A 17,286-nucleotide genomic window follows, 5' to 3' on the forward strand; every position below is an offset into this window, starting at 1 on the left:
CAGAATTTATTTTATTAACCTTGCACAAAAGACAGAGACGTGGGGAGCTGGTGCTATCAGGGAAGGAGCTTCACGTATTAACTCCCTACGTCCTGCTCATGTCATCCATTTGCCAGAATGGGGGAAAAGGAAGAAAGAAGGGTGATTGTAGATTTGTAGTTTTGCTTCGTTTTGACTTTGCTTGCTGAGGCTGCATGTGGAGGCCTTGTGTTAACTATCGAATCAGAAATGGGAATAGCACTGAGTGTTACTGGGAGGCTGCAATGCATCAGATAAGAGTGCTTGGGCCCAGATGTCCCTTGAGGGCCAGGGAAAGAATGTTGGAGCAATCTTGTGCTCATCAGCTTGCATTTGGATGAACATGAGAATGTGGGAGCTAAGACGTTGTATTAGTTAGAGTTCTTCAGGGAGACAGAATTAATAGTATATAAATATATATAGTATATACATATATACTGTATATATATAATGGTGTATATATTGTGTCTATGTACACAGTATATATATAATAGTGTATATGTACACACTGTATATAATAGTGTATATTTAGTGTATAGGTATACTGTATATATGTAATAGTGTATATATGTATACACTATTAGTATATATGCTATTGGTATACATATAGAGTATTGTATATATGTATATTATATATACATATACAGTACACATATAGTATATAGTATATACATATATTATGTAATATGTGTATATATAACATACACATATATTATATTATATATTATATACATATATTATATAATATACGTATATACTATATATGTATATATAATATACATATATACAATATATACTATATATGTATACTAATAGTATAGATAGTATATGTATATAGTATGCATATACTATATACATACAGTATATATACTATATACTATATATACACTATACTATATACTATATATAGTATATATATACTATATATACTATATACAGTATATGCATATACTATATACATATAGTATACAGGTATATACTATATATGTATACTGTATATGTATACTACTAGTATATATACTTAATTATTAGTATATATACTAGTAGTATACATATATGTATATATTATGTATGCTATATATGTATGCTAATAGTATATATACTAATAGTGTATTTGTGTGTATTATGTACATAGTATATAATATGTAGTATAGAATATATATGTATTGACACACATATGCTCTTCATTTTATTTATATATATATATATATATATTTAATTATCATAAGATATTGGCTTCTGCAATCATGGAAGCTGAAAAGTCCCATAATCTGCTAGTACAAGTGGGAGACCTAGGAAAGCTGATGTCTAGTTCAAAGGCCTGAGAACCAGGGGAACCAATGATGTTGATGCCAGTCCAGGAGTCTGAAGGCTTGAGAACCAGGAACACTGAAAGTAGAAGAAGCAGATGTCTCAGCTCAAGCTGTCAAGCAGAGAGTGAATTCAACCTTCCCCCACTGTTGTGTTCTATGTAGGCCTTCGGTGAATTGGAGGATGCCGACCCACATTGGAGAGGGCAATCTGCCTTACTCAGTCCACCAATTCAAATACTAATCTCTTTCAGCAACACCCTTGCAGATATACTTAGAAATGCTGTTTAGCCAGCTATCTGGGCACCCCATGGCCCAGTCAAGTTGACACATAAAACTGACCATCACGGACATCTTCTGCATCTCAGAGGCTGAGTGCAGGGCTCCTTGGGGATTGATTGGTGATTGTCATGGCTAAGCTGATAGAGTTAAAAATCAAAATAAAAAGAGCATCCTAACTCTTAAAGCCCTGACTTGACCACCACACAACCTATGCATGTAACAAAATTGCATGTGTACCCCATAAATTCATACAAATAAATAAATTTTTAAAAGAGCATCTGGACCTCAAACTTCCAAGCTTCTACAACCACTGGTCAAGCCCTGGTCCTGTGCCTGGGTTCCTCGCTCACTTCTGGGTGGGCATCTTTGCCAGTGGCGAGTGCACCACGAGTGCACCAGTCCTAGTGCTTCTTTGGTTCTGTGCCCAGTGGGCATCCAAGGACTCTATTGCTGTGGTTTGGTGGCTTAACCTTGGCCTGGAGTTACCCACTGTCTAGTAATCTCTGGGGTGTTAGGAAAGAATCTGGCAAATTTCAGCCAGTGGTGACTTTTTTTTTTTTTTTTTTTTTTTTTTGAGACAGAGTCTTGCTCTGTCGCCCAGGCTGGAGTGAGGTGGTGCAATTTTGACTCACTGCAGCCTGGACCTCAAGCAATCCTCCCACCTCAGCCTCCAAAGTAGATGGGACCACAGGTGCATGCCTCCATGCCCAGCTAATTTTGTTCATCTTTTGTAAAGATGAGATCTCACTATGTTGCTCAGGTTGGTCTCAAACTCCCAGACCCAACAGATCCTTCTGCCTAGGCCTCCCAAAGTGCTGGGGTTATAGGCGTGTGCCACAATGCTTGGCCAGAAAGTTTAAGCTTGGGTGTCCCTCATCTACAAATGTTGGGAGAACCAGAGAACTACAGAACCCTGCTGTCCTCCAGAAGCAAATGTGGTCCATGCTCCCTTTGGCCACCTGTCCTGAGTGTGCCACCACATAGATAGTGGGTGTATCCACTTCCACCATCACCTCCTGACTATAATAAATAATTTATTATAAACAAATACATATATTTATATAAAAATTATGATATAATTTATATTATAATGTATAATATAAAAACACAGAAAGCACTTATAATAGTGCAAAGCACATGTACGAGCTCACTAAATGTTAGCTGTCTGATGTGTATTCCTACCTGTCCCTTTCTTGCTTGATGGAGAAATAATCCCTAGAGGGGCTAATTTTTCTGGGGGTTTTCTGGACTCACGGTGAAGAGAGAGGACACAGTTGACACCCCTGTACTCCTAGCTGCTCCCATTTTTCTCACCTGCACTTAACACCAACACCTAACATGGCAGCACTCTGCACTTGTCTAAGGTTTGGTCATCTTGCCACAAATGCACGCATTCATCCAGCCAGGGCTGAGATCAGGGTAGACAAACAAGACCAAATTTAAATAGGCACCAAAAATCCTCAGTCATCAGACTAAATAAAATTTTAATGCAATCTTTCAAAATATCAAAATTAATACTAAAAATCCACACCGATAAAAATATCAACATTTTAGAAAAGACAGCACCCAATATGGTGGGGATTGGTGAGGAGGGGAGTGGGTGAGTGCAGAGTGGGGAAGCAGTAGTCAGCCACGTGGGCTGGGGGAAGGGCATCTGCTGCTGGGGGAAGGGCGGCCTCCTCCCATTTCCTCTTGAGCCAATCATTATTGCTATGCCTTGTTTTCCATCTGTTACATTCAGTTGGAGCTTTATGTTATTTTATTTTTCATGAATTTTGATGATTTATTTTTGTTTGAAAAACAACGACGACAAATCTAATGAAAAACAACAACAACAAATCTAAACCATCTGATGTGCTGGGTGAGCAGAACAGCCACAGACCCTGGTCTCCCCCTCAGACAGTACTGGTTGCGATCACATAATTACTTGTTAGACTGATCTGTACTGATTTACAGGGGGTCAATCTTTCTGCTGGTCTCAGTTCCGCAGGGTCCCATGCCAGGAGCTTGTCAAAGAAGCTCATTTTACTAGAATACAGAAGACAAAGATGGAGAGCAAGCACACTTGCAGATGTGGAGGCCAAAGAACATTCCACTTCCTATACCTGTAATTATTCAAAAGCCACAGAGCCAGCTGGGTGTGGTGGCGCACCCCTGTAATCCCAGCACTTTGGGAGGCCCAGGTGGGTGGATTGCTTGAGCCCAGGAGTTCCAGAACAGCCTGGGCAACTGGAGGAACCCCATCTCTAATACCAAAAAAAAAAAAAAAAAAAAAAATTAGCTAGGTGTGGGGCATGTGCCTGCCATTTCAGCTACCCCAGAGGCTGAGATGGGAGGATCACTTGAGCCCGGGGAGGTCAAGGCTGCAGTGAACCCATGATTGTGCCACTGCACTCCAACCTGGGTGACAGAGGGAGACTCTGTTTCTAAAAAATAAATAAATAAAAATAAAAGCCACATAGTCACAAGCGAGGATGGGGGATCTTCTGAACAAGTCCAGACTCTTTCCCAGGTCACCCAAGTTTCCACCGAACTCTCCTTTCCTCTGGAACACATAAAAAGATTTTAAATTTTAAAATTGCAGCTTCCCAGAGCTGTTCATTTGCAGACCCTGGGGAGAGTTAACCAAGAGGGATTTGCAAAGCTCTTAACTTTAGAAGGTCAGGAAGGCTCCTGTGGGGACTGGTGAGAGACAGCTGGTCCCAAGGGGGCATGGCAACTTGGAGGCTGAAAATGTGGACTCTGAAGTCAGAAAGCTTCCATGGTAATCCAGGCTCCAAGCCTTCCTAGCCATGTGGCCCTGGACTAGTGAGTTAACTTGGCCAAGGCTCAGTTTTCTCATCTGTAAGATGGAACTTTTTCACTGGGCTAGTGTTTGATGGAAAGAATTGACATGTGTAAAGCAGTAAGAAGAGTGTATAGCACATGCTTAACAAAAGCTGATTGATACAGAAAGGTCACAGTGCTGCAGGAAGAATCACGTTTCTCTCCCCACTTCTACCATTCTCAAGAGTGAGCTCTGGGAGACAGGGGCATGTTTATTCTCTTCTGCATCCAGCACAGTGACTTATATCTGTTGGGCATCAAGAAACAAAGTTAATAATGAAAAGTTGGGATTGGGAGCTGGGAAGTCTGACTTCTAGTCTCAGCTCTGTGGCTTTGGGCAAGTCTCTTCCTCTCTCTGGGACTCAGGGACCTGGGAGATGAAGCCTGGGTTGGAATTAGCGTTTCTTGAAGTTTGCCCTGGGACTCTAGGAATGCAATCATGTTTTATGTTTCAGGGCAAAGGAAGAGAGAAGAAGGGTTCTGTGGTCAAATAGGTTTAGGCAAGGTTAGGATAAACAGCCAAACCAAGTCTCTTTGCAGAGCTTCTCAGAGCCCTTACACATCCAGCATTTCTGAGATCCTTGAATTTGGAGCCCATCTTTGGCAGAGCATCTTGTGGAACTTACTTTGGGAAATGCTGGGCTCTATGAGATCTTCTCCAAGGTGTTTCTGCATCTGGATGTTTTATAAGGGTGGCCCAAGAACAGGTCATTCTGCTTTGTTGGGCTTATGGCTCGGTTTCCTAAGAAGGGAGGGAAGTGAGGGAACAGCTGGGAATCCTTCAGGACCGGGAGACTCTCCAGCGCAAACAGGAGGTCTTGGCAATCTCCTCCAAGGCAGGGATGGATGGGGGAAATCTTTTTATTTTTATAGGTTTAGGGGGTACACGTGTCATTTGGTTCCATGGATTTATTGCATAGTGGTGAAATATGGGCTTTTAGTGTAGCCATCACCCAAAGAATGTTCATTGTACTCATTGCAAAAGAAATCACTATGTAAAAAAGATACCTGCACTGGTACGTTGATCTCAGCACTATTCATAATAGCAGATATAAAATTAGCCTAAGTGTCCATCAGCGATGCTTAGATAAAGAAAATGTGGTGTGTATACATATACAATGGAATACTACTCAGCCATAGAAAAGAGTGACATCATGTCTTTTGCAGCAACATGGGTGGAATTGGAGGACCTGGGAAATCTTTGAACCCCTGAGCTCCTGGTCTGAGCATAGGAGTCTTTGTGGAGGACAGTGAGAACGACTTTGAGAGCCCAGGAAGTTACTTATGCCAAGGAATGTGCTAAGCCCAGCAGAAAGGCAGGCCTCCCACTATGTAGATGGGAACCCTCTTTGGGAGGCTAATGTCCATGATTTCTCTGAGACTCCAATACTGAGGGGCTTGCTGGGGCATGGCAGAGGCTGCCTGACTAGGGAGGGAGTGGAGGAGATAGGAAGAGGAGATAGGATGAGGAGATCTGGATGGAGTGAGGGAGCCATGTGATTATCCTAGGAAATCCAGTTCTAGGGAGAGGGAAGAGTAGGTGCAAAGGCCCTGGGGCATGAGTGCATTTGGTGTATTCAAGTAACAGGGAGGAGGCCATAGTGACTTGAGTGGAGTGAGCGAGAGAGAGAAAATGAGAATGAACTGAGAGATGCAGCTATAGAGCAGTGTATAAGCCCTTGTAAAATGTGTGAGAACTTGGATTGTATTTCTTAAAAAAAAAAAAAAAATTGGCCAGGGATGGTGGCTCATGCCTGTTATCCCAGCACTTTGAGAGGCTAAGGCAGATGAATCACTTGAGGTCAGGAGTTCGAGACCAGCCTGGCCAACATGGTGAAACCCCATTTCTACTAAAAATACAAAAATTAGCCAGGTGCGGTGGCATGGACCTGTAGTCCCAGCTATTCAGAAGGCTGAGGCAGGAGAATTGCTTGAACCTGGGAGGCAGAGGTTGCAGTGAGCTGGGATCACACCATTGCACTCCAGCCTGGGCAACAGAGCGAGACTCCATCTCAAAACAAACAAACAAACAACTTTATTGAGGCATATATTGCATATTATGGAATTCACCCTTTTCATGTGTACAACTCAATGCTTTTTTTTAAGTAAATTTACCAAGTTGTACAACCATCACTCAAAATCCACGTTGGAGCATTTTCATCATCCTGATACGATCCTTGGTGCACATGTACGATTAATCCCCTTTCTGCTCTGCCCCCATCCAAACAGCTGCTAATCTACTTGCTGCCATCTTTGCAGCTTTGCCTTTTCTTGATCTTCCCTGGAAATGGAATCATATAATGTGTGGTCTCTTCTGCCTGGCTTCTTCCACTGAGTATAATGTTTTTGAGGTTCATCCAGGCTGTGGCACATACCGGTCGTTCATTCCTTTTTATTGCTCAGTGGTATTCTGACTTGGATTGTGTGTTCAGTGGTGGCAGGAATCCAGAGGTGATTCTGGAGCATGAGGGAGACTTATCATGACAGCGCCTGTGCTTTATCACAGGGAAGTGTCATTCCCGGCAAGGTGAGCCCCAGGCTTTGCAAGAGTGGGGTCTGGTTCTGTCACTTAGGGGCTGGTGTCCTTGGACAAGTCCTTTCACCTTGCTGAGTCTTAGTTTTCTCATTTCTTTTCTTTTTTAAATTATTTATTTCTGATTGTGGTAAAATATACAGAACAGAAAATTTACCATTTTAATGATGTTTAAAGTGTGCAGTTTTTGCACGTTAACATTAAATACATTCACATCGTTGTGCAACCTATCTCCAGAACTCTTTTCGTCTTGCAAAACTGCAACTCTGCACCCATCACACACAAACTCCCTATTCTCTCTTCCCTCAGCCCCTGGCAACCTCCATCCCACTTTCTGTCTCTTGAAAATGATTGCTCTATGCATCTCACACAGTCTTCAAGGGCCTATCTGCTGCCCTAACAGATGAGTCTCTGAGTTGATTCTCTTTCTCTCACTTGCTTACTCCACTCAAGTCACTATGAGGTATTCCTACAGTATCATCTGTCACTTTGTGATTGTTTAATTCAGCGTAAATCCTCAAGGTCCACCTATGTCGAAGCATATGTCAGAGCATCCTTCCTTTTCAAGGCTGAGTAATATTCCATTGCATGGATAGACCACTTCATGTTTATCCATTTTCCTATCGATGGCCACTTGGATTGTTTCCACCTTTTGGCTGTTGGGAAAACTGCTGCAACATGGTATATATGCAAGTTAAAGACAGGAGTGAGAACATTCACCTACTTGATACAACTGTGGTGAGGATTAGGTGAAACAATTCACACAAAGTGCTGAGCACAGGGCCTGGCACATGTAAGTGCTGGGTGAACACCTTTCAACAATGATGCAATGACCATGGAGCCCTTATTATGAACGGGATCTGTAAGCCAAGCATTTGATAGAAAAATGTCACAGGATGGGGAGCTCAAAGAGAGGGCAAAGAGAGTTTTGTTTTTTTAATATAAACGGTAATGTGACCCTAATTTTTAAAATTTAGAAAATCGAGAAGAAAAAAACTTCACCCATAATCTGGCCTCTTTAACTGAGTTTCAATTTCCGTCTACTTCAGAAGGATTAACCAGACCTTCTGGTTTCAGAAGAACAGAGGAAAACTGGAAGGACCTGGGGTGTGGGGGCTGGCTGGGGGTGATGAGGAAACACTGCAGAAGGCTCTCCTGCCAGAGGAATCATGTCCCTGTTTTGCTTTGGAAACCCCGGGGCCCGACTGGTTCAGCCAAGAGGGGTCTGCATTTTTTGGCTTCAGCACTGAGAGAGAGAGAGGAATCAAAAAAAGGAAGTATCATTTCCTTAACTACTAGGTATTAATATCCTGTTTAATTTAATTTCGGCTTTCTGCGCCGGTGAGCTCTTTTCCCTCTAACATACAGTGTCAGCTTGGCAGGGAGTTTCTGACAGTATCAAAAGAGGATTTAGCTCTGAACCCTTGCCATGAAAGTGTCTCTATCTGCGCACAGAAGAGAGCATTGTGTCCTGCGAAGACGGTAATTGACTGAATGAGGCCTGGCACCTGGGCCTGCCGTGGAGCCCTGATAAGGACATAAAGACAGGCTTAAAGGGCTTGCTTGCCAGAGGCAGAGACGCTCACACATCCCTGGAAGGAGGGAAGCCCAGCCATCCCTGCCATCCCAGAGGAGAGCTGAGTGCAGGGGCTCAGCCCCTGCAGCCCTGCAGAAAGAGGGTCCTGGGTGGATGCAGGCTGGGAGCATTCCTCACTTCAGCATGGTGAACTGGCACTCTTCGTGGGAGATAAGCAGGGGGCAAGTGGGCAGGGCTGGCCCCAGCTGGCTGATGTGCCTATTTGCCTTCTCTCTCTTTCTTTCTTTCTTTCTTTCTTTCTTTCTTTCTTTCTTTCTTTCTTTCTTTCTTTCTTTCTTTCTTTCTTTCTTTCTCTCTCTCTTTCCTTCCTTCCTTCCTCCTTCCTTCCTTCCTTCCTTTCTTTTCTTTCTCTTTCTTTCTTTCTCTTTCTTTCTTTCTTTTTTCTTTTTCTTTCTCTTTCTTTCACTTTTTTTTTTTTGGCAGGGTCTCACTGTCAGGCTGGAGTGCAGTGCTGCAATCACAGCTCTCTGCAGCCTCAAACTTCTAGGCTCAAGCAATCTTCCCACCTCAGCCTCCCGAGTAGCAGGGACTACAGGTGCATGCCACCATGCTTGGCTAATTTTTCTATTATTTGTAGAGGCAGGGTCTCGTTATGTTGCCCAGGCCAGTCTTGAATTCCTGGGCCCCAGTGATCTGCCCACCTCAGCCTCTCAAAGTGCTGGGATTACAGGGATGAGCTACCGTGCCTGGCGTTAAGCCCCCTATTTTTTGATAAACACACCCTATTCTTATTTGGCTGGCCCCCATCTAGCAAGATCTAGCCTCCATTGTCTGGACTTGTTTGTCTTTAGTCTTCTTGTCTTGAGCTACACAGCCACTGTAGAAATTAATCAGGATCCTTGTGAGTCTGTGTGGTTCATTTCCCTAGTGATTTCAAGATGCTCTGTGCTCTGGGAGGCCCTTGCTCAGGCCTCACAACCTTGAACAGGATTGTCCATCTCTCTGAGAACTCTGGGTTGATCACATCGCTTCTTCCCACCTTTCAAGAGAAACAAATACTTTCTGGTTCTTCCTCTGTAAACTGGTGGCAATTTCGCCCGTAAGTGACCACAGGGTCATTGCCCACACACCCATCCATCCATCCATCAATGAATCTATCCATTCACCCATTCATTCATCAGTATATTCATCCATTCATCTATCCATCCATTCATTCATCCATTTATCCATTCACCCATTCATTCACCAGTCTATCCAGCCAGCCAGCCAGCCAACTTTGGAGAGCTTATTATACTTCACATAGAGGTGGACAGTATCTTTAATAGACTTTTAATGGTGAGAGCTGTTGAAGCCTGAATTCCTAACTGTGTGACCTTGGCTAAGTCACTGGCTTAGAGTTTGCCATAATTAGAGCCTGCATTAGTCAGAGGCAGGCTAACTTTTAAAAGATAGCTCCTAATATCAGTGGCTTAACATAATATACATTTATTTCTAATTCATGATCCAAAACAGATGTTTTTGATTAATGCACGTCATTACTCCATGCAGTGACTCAGAGATCCAAATTCCTTCGATGCTGAAACTCAGCCCTTCTCTAGTCAAAGGAGTCTTTTCATTCTGCTGGTGCATTGAGTAAAAGTGAGGATTAGCTATGGGAGGCCTAGACATGGTGCACATTCACTTCTGCTCACCTTCCATTGGCCAGAACTCAGTCAGGCCACATATGACTGTAAGGGTGGCTGTGTACCCACGAAGAGGAGGAGAGTGTGGACATTGGTGGGTGCCAGCTGTCTCTGCCACTGGGCTTCCAGACGGCTTTTAATCACAAAGAAACAGTAAAATGTTAGAGACCAAGAGAAAGAGGTTAAAAGGCTTTCAGATATCCTTTATTCCCTAAGCAGAAAGTTAGGTGTTATCTACATTGCCTCTGACTGCTGCCAATACAGGGAGATTCCTCAACTGTCCAAAAAGCTTGAGGAATCGCAGCTGGTGGAGTCAGGAGTGGATAGCAGAGTTTTTCTGGAACCTGAACCCAGAATACAATATGACCAGAATACTACTCCAAAATGGAGATGGGGAGGTCAGGTTCTGACCTCTTTAAATTTTTGACATTGGGAGGAAATGAAAGGCCCACAATACAACCTGATCATAATCTTCTGTTATCTTGTGTAGAATTCTGATGGACAAGATTACACCTATTCTTTCCTAGAAACACATAAAAGTGTATATTTCAAAATCACCACCACCACCACCATCATCATCATCAGATTTACTGAGTGTTTACTATGTGCCAGGAACTGTTCTAAGAGTTTTATATAATTATCTCATTTAGGCTGGGCACAGTGGCTCATGCCTGTAATCCCAGCTCTTAGGGAGTCTGAGGTGGGTGGATCACTTGAGGTCAGGAGTTCGAGACCAGCCTGGCCAGCATGATGAAACTTCGTCTCTACTAAAAATACAAAAATTAGCTGGCATGGTGGTGCACATTTGTAATCCCAGCTACCCAGGAGGCTGAAGCAGGAGAATTGCTTGAATCTGGGAAGCAGAGGTTGCAGTGAGCTAAGATCACACCACTGCACTCCAGCCTGGGTGACAGAGGGGGACTCCATCCCCACCCCAAAAATAAAAATCTCATTTACTCCTTGCAACAACTTTAGCAGGCAAGTATAATTATTATTCCATTTAAGGAAATTTGCAACAGGAAGACTCTGCTCTAGGTCCTGCAGCTCCTAACTGGGAGGACAAGCAAGAAAGATCTTGGTGATCTTACTTGAGCCCAATAGTGTCATGAGTGCCATGGGTGCCTCGGGCCCAGTGCTGGAGGTTCCCCTTAGGGTCTTTTTTATGGCCTTTTAAACTCTGTGTGTCACTCATGTAACAAATCTACACACATACCCCTGAATCTGAAATAAAACCTAAAATTGTTAAGAAATTAAAATAATAAAAGTATTCAGATAGAAAAGACAAATTACTTACAAAGAATAACAGGTGGGTTGACAATAGCAATAGCAATAAGAGTTGCATATTGTAGCAATAAGAATAGTAATCAGAATCCAGAAAATAGTAGAATAATATCCTCAAAGTTCTGGGAGAAAATAACCGCTCATCTAAACACATAACAAGCTAAATCGTCTTTTAAGAATGAGAATGAAGCAAAGACATTTTTAGGAAAACAACAAAGAAAATTTTCACCTTTCTCTCAACTAAAAACTTCTAAAGGTTATACTTCAAAAAGAGAGACTATGAGATATGCAGGGAGGGGTGGTTTCAGAAATATTTGAATTTTTAAATTTATTTGTCCATCTTTTCCAACATATTTATGCATATATGAATTAATACAGTATTTGCCTTTCTTGTTTCACAATTAGCAGCGTACTATATATACTCATCGTCACCTTGTTTGGTTGCTGTTGCTTATTAACATTACAGCCTGGCAATATTTTCATAGCAGTATAAAAATTGAATTCACAAAAGAAGAAGGAAAAAAAAGCCAGGTATGATGGCACATGCTGTGATCCCAGCATTTTGGGAGGCCAAGGCGGGAGGATTGCTTGAGCTCAGGAAATTGAGACCAGCCTGGGCAACATGGTGAAATCCTGTCTCCACACACATATACAAAATTAGCCCGGCATGGTGGCATGCACCTGTAGTCCCAGCTACTTGGGAGGTTGAGGTGAAAGGATTGCTCAAGGCCAGGAGGGCAAGGCTGCTGAGAGCTGTGATTCTGCCACTGCACTCCAGCCTGGCTGACACAGTGAGACACTGTCTCACAAAAAAAAAAAAAAAAAAAAAAAGAAAAGAAAAGAAAAAGAGAAAACTCTGTATGCCAGTTAGTTTTCTCATCCATAAAATGGGGAAATGGGGATGCCAGTCACTGTCCTGTCTTTTGGGGTAGCTCTATTGAAGGGATCATATGAAAATGTGTTCGGAAGCATTTGTCCCAATAGATGATGTCCCAAATGTGTAGAATCATCGCTTTGGATTTACTATCATTTGTTTGCAGGACTGCTTCTGCCCCTGGCCTCAAAATTGCTAAAAGGCATCAAGTGAGTTATTCAGCAAAGAGCTTATGACAGAACATGGTGTTCAAATGAAGTCCTTGCCCTTGGAATATTAACCTCGGGAGGCTGGGGTGAGCTAGGAAGTTCAGAGCCTTCCCCTCGGTCTTTGGCAGCCTGCTCAGCTGTGTGTGTTTTTCCAGCTCGAGGAGAGACAAGCCTCATCTCCACACTCCAGATGTTCCCAGCCCTGCAGAGCCGTCATCACCTAAGCCAGCTGTCGGGCACTGACTCTCTGGGCTACATTCTCCCGTGGGTTCTCTTTAACCCGCTTGGTTTCACCGCAGGGGAATGCTGAAGAGACACAAGTGTTTTTGTTTTCTCTCTTAAAAAATACAGAAACTGTAATCTGTTTTACATCTGGGTCTGACTGCAGACAAGCAAGAGCGGGCGGAATGGAGTGATGGGCAATCCAGCTGCAAGAAGAGGTGCATACCCCTCTGTAGACAGCACATCTGTGCAGGTGTCTAACAGCCGCCTCATGGAAGGAGTCATGGAAGACGTTAGGCCCCTCCAGTTGGGGTAAGGGGATGGGTTGCTTTTCTTTTTCAGTGATGCTGGAACCTTTTCTCTTGGAGCATATCTGGTTCTGTCTAGGTTCTCTGGAAACAGAAGAAACAGCCGGATGTTTGAGGGAAAATGTCTAATGTGCTTAACATCTTTATAAAGCCGGTTCACATTTAGAGAAATGATTTATCTGAATTGATTCTCCCAAACCAGCTCTATTCTCCCTGTGCAAAGGGGCTTTCTTGAAACTCCCAAATGTTTATAGGATGGATGAAACAAACTTGAGGTCCTAAAGTGCAGCTGCTATTTAAATATAAGCGTCTAGGGCCCAGGCAGCTGATTATTGATGGGTGTTGAGTGCCACATTGCAAAGTGCGCAGCCGGCCTGCCTTAAATAACTCTAACTAGGCCCAAACAGTCCTGAAGAGGTTTCTAGAATTAGGTCACAGCCTGGAAAAAGCAGAGAAAGTCTGGAAAAATCCTAGGAGGATTTAAACAGTTTTTTCCTTTTGTTTCAATCTATCAGATCAAGCAACTGATGCAAGCTTTGGACCAAATGAAACATTTCAAGAACTCAGATTGTAAAATCACAATCAGCTGGAGGAATTCGGATCTGCATCTGGCCCAGAAGAACATTTTTGAGGATCTTTTGAAAGTATCACTAAGAGCAAGGCTGGTGAATTGAATTACTGCCATTATTCCCCAAGGAAAGAAGGATTCATTTCATTCCTAACTGCAAGGCATTCAGCAGGTTAACTGGCAAGTGGAAAAGAGCCTAACCAAATTATCCCTTGGGACCATCAAAACATTTAATAAACCAAGACACAAATGCCTCCCAAAAATTCCATCTGCAAGAAACATTTTCTGCATCAAGAAGCACAAAGGAGATAAGTGTTCTATTCATCCACGCAGGCAACGCTGTCACCCAGGAAGTGTTGCTCAGGGGGCCTTACTCCACAGCTGGCCTCCGATGTGTAGGCAGGCCTGGAACAGAATCAATTGCAAAAAAAAAAAAAAAAAAACAGAAAAAAAAAAGAAAAAAAACAGCATCGTCTGTGGGATTCTCCCTCAATGTCTGTTCCGTGAAAGATGCATTTTGTCCTCTGGAGCCTGGTGTTGGAAATAAACTTGGCTGCACAGGTAAACTCTTAAGAGGCTGGCTAATGCCAGGTGATACTCTCAGCTTGTGAAATCTCAGCCTTTTACTTGGTCATATTTTCAAAAGAGAAGACAGCTAATGGGAGTAAGTTCCTTACATTAAAAACATACTTCCAGTTAACAGCACCAAACCACTTAAGTTGGAAGCAGACCAATTATTAATTAGATGAATGGCCTTTTATAAATCCCTCTGCAGGCTCAGGACAACTGATGGGTTTATGGTCCATGCATTAGAGAACATGGTTCCTCCATGGTTATAATTATCTATAGTTGCTGGCAATTGGGGGTTATTGCACCAAAATCAGATGCCCCATGAACATGCTGGCCTGAGCTACCATGGGGTGATGGGGAGAAAGCTGAAATAGCAGAGGATGGTTTATTCTGTTGTCCTTCTTAAGCTGTTTGATCTTGGGACAATTCCTAGAGGTTTTTTTCTTGGTTTCCTCATCTGAATGTGAATGTAATTGATATCTCTAGTTTTTCTCTGCCCGGCATCCATTCCCCCTTTCTTTTGATAGCAATCTCTTGGTTTCCATGGAGAAACCATCCCTTCTCCACTCCCAGTGCATTTGGTTTGGGGGAACTGGCTGCACTCTTAGCTCTAGGGATGGGCATGTGGCCCAAGCCTGGCCAATCAGAACACTGCATCCTTCTAATCCCAGCGATTGGTTCAGATCTAATCAGAAACAAAGAAAGTCAATTTCCTGGCACCACATAAACAACCATTGTTCACGGAGACCAGATCTGACATGTTTTGACTCCGGCGCTCAGCTTCGTTCAAGTCTGTGAATGTTTGTAAGTTGAAAGTTTGGGGAGTTCATACGTTTTCTGTAATTCTTTTAAAAATATTTGGAAGACTGTAAAAGAAATCCCTTGCTTTTATAATGCAAACTACAGAAAGTAGAGCCACACAAGATCTTGGTTGGTGGGGTTGAGAAACACTGATTTAATGGAGAATCCCCTGGACATGGAGACATTAGTCAAGAGTATAACTACTGCTGGAAAGTATAGCTCACCATGCTCAGTGGCTTCAGATGCACACAAAGTTTAGTTTTCCTTCATGTCACCGTCCTGCTGACAGTGGGTAGGAGGGACTCTGCTCCCCCAGACATTCAGTGTCAGGTTCCTTCCATCTGGTGGCTCCAGCATCCCCTGTACCTGCTGAGCTCCCACTGGATCTTTGCAGTCTGACAGCAGGTGGCAGGAAGAGAATGCTGGGGTATTGTGCTGAGGTTTGATGGGAAGACTGGCAGCGATGCATTTATTCTGCCTACGTGCCATTGGTCAGAACACAGTCACATGGCCCCCTAACTGCAAGGGATGCTGGGAAATGTAGTCTAGCTGGGTGCCCAGGAGGAAAAGGGGAAAGTATAGGTGGACAGCAACCAGATCGCCTCTGCCCTGCCATGGTAACACAATTACAACTTGGTGGTTAAGTCAAAAGCATGCTTTATTTTTGTGACTATGGATACCACAGGTGTGCTGTCTTTTGGGGATAGATGATATAGAAGAAAATAACAAAAACTCAAATCTGGCTGGGCCTGATGGCTCATGCCTGCAATCCCTGAACTTTTGGAAGTCAAGGCGGGAGGATCACTTGAGCCCAGGAGTTTGAGACCAGCCTGGAAAACATGGCAAAACCCTATCTCTACAAAAAGTACAAAAATTAGCCACTCACGAGGGTCCACTTGTAGCCCCAGCTACTCGGGAGACTGAGGTGGGAGTTTAGGGTTGCAGTGAGCCATGATTACACCACTGCACTCCAGCCTGGGTGACAGTGAGATCCTGTCTCAAAATAAATAAATAAATAAAACTCAAAGCCAGCCATTTCTGGTGTATTCTGCCTCTATAGGATGGAAATTATTTAGACATAACAAGCTTCTTGTTTATCATTTAATGTCACCTTCGTCTTAAGTGATTTATTTGATGTTAGGAAACAGAGTTGAAGGGTCCAGTGTTGCTCTAGTCAGAACTGGGTTTTCCTATAACCAGGCATAAATCTAGTATCCTATCTGGTTATTTGTTTGTGACTGTCTCAAAATCTAGTCCCCAAGAAAGCTGAAGTTTTAAATATATCAAATCATCTTAAGGCTCCACACTCGTCCTATGGGTGACATTATACGTGTTCATGAGAAAATCATTTCAAGGGCTACAAATGAGTCCTTTAGTAATACCCAGGAGTCATAATGTCTGTGACATAATGAACCTTCCTAAATTACAACCTACAATAATTAGATCACTTATTGCTGCATTCCAGGCCCTGAAACAATTTGCTTAAAGTGATAGTTACGTCTAATGAAAAGATACATAACGGAAAATGTCAGCAACCTTTTAAATCCTCCACGACTTATCATGAGAACTGTCTTGTGCAAAGTGCCCATGGAGAAACATCTGTGTCACCATCTCCTCCTAAATTAGGTGAGCATTTTATGGCCGCTTGGAAATGGAGAGAATTCCCTAGGGTGGTAAGAAGATTAGGTAAGGGTTAGCTGCCTCTTTCAGCCTTTTTCCTACCCTGTTCCACCTCTGCCTCTCTCTCTCCCTTCCCCAGCATTCACTGTGGCTGAAATGCCTCCAGAATCTTAACTAAAAAGATCTACGGTTGGGCTGGGTGCTGTGGCTCATGCCTGCAATCCCAGCACTTTGGGAGGCCAAGGCAGGAGGATTGCTTGAGCCCAGGAGATTGAGGCTGCAGCGAGCTATGATCATGCCACTGCACTGCAGCCTGGGTGACAGAGCAAGACCCTTGTCTCTTAAAAAAGAAAAGAAAAGAAAAATAGATGGGATGGTTATCAGCTTCTCGTGAGGTGGGGTTTCCTTGAACTCCTGGAGTCCCTGGCCACGTGGCAGATGGGAGGTTCCTAATCTCCCTCCAAGCCCTTTCCAAGTGGGCATACTTCATAGCCACCTCTCTGATGAGGCTGGAGGGGGTGCTCCATTCTGGGGGCTGGTGGAGAACGTTGTCTGGAGATGGCTGGCTATGTCTAGCAGTCATGCCCTCAGCAGGAGACAGGATCATTCGAGGAGGACTTCAAAAGGCACTGTTTACGGAGATGT

Source organism: Homo sapiens, chromosome 16 (genome assembly GCF_000001405.40).
Source record: "Homo sapiens chromosome 16, GRCh38.p14 Primary Assembly".
In the NCBI taxonomy this organism is placed as follows: Eukaryota; Metazoa; Chordata; class Mammalia; order Primates; family Hominidae; genus Homo; species Homo sapiens.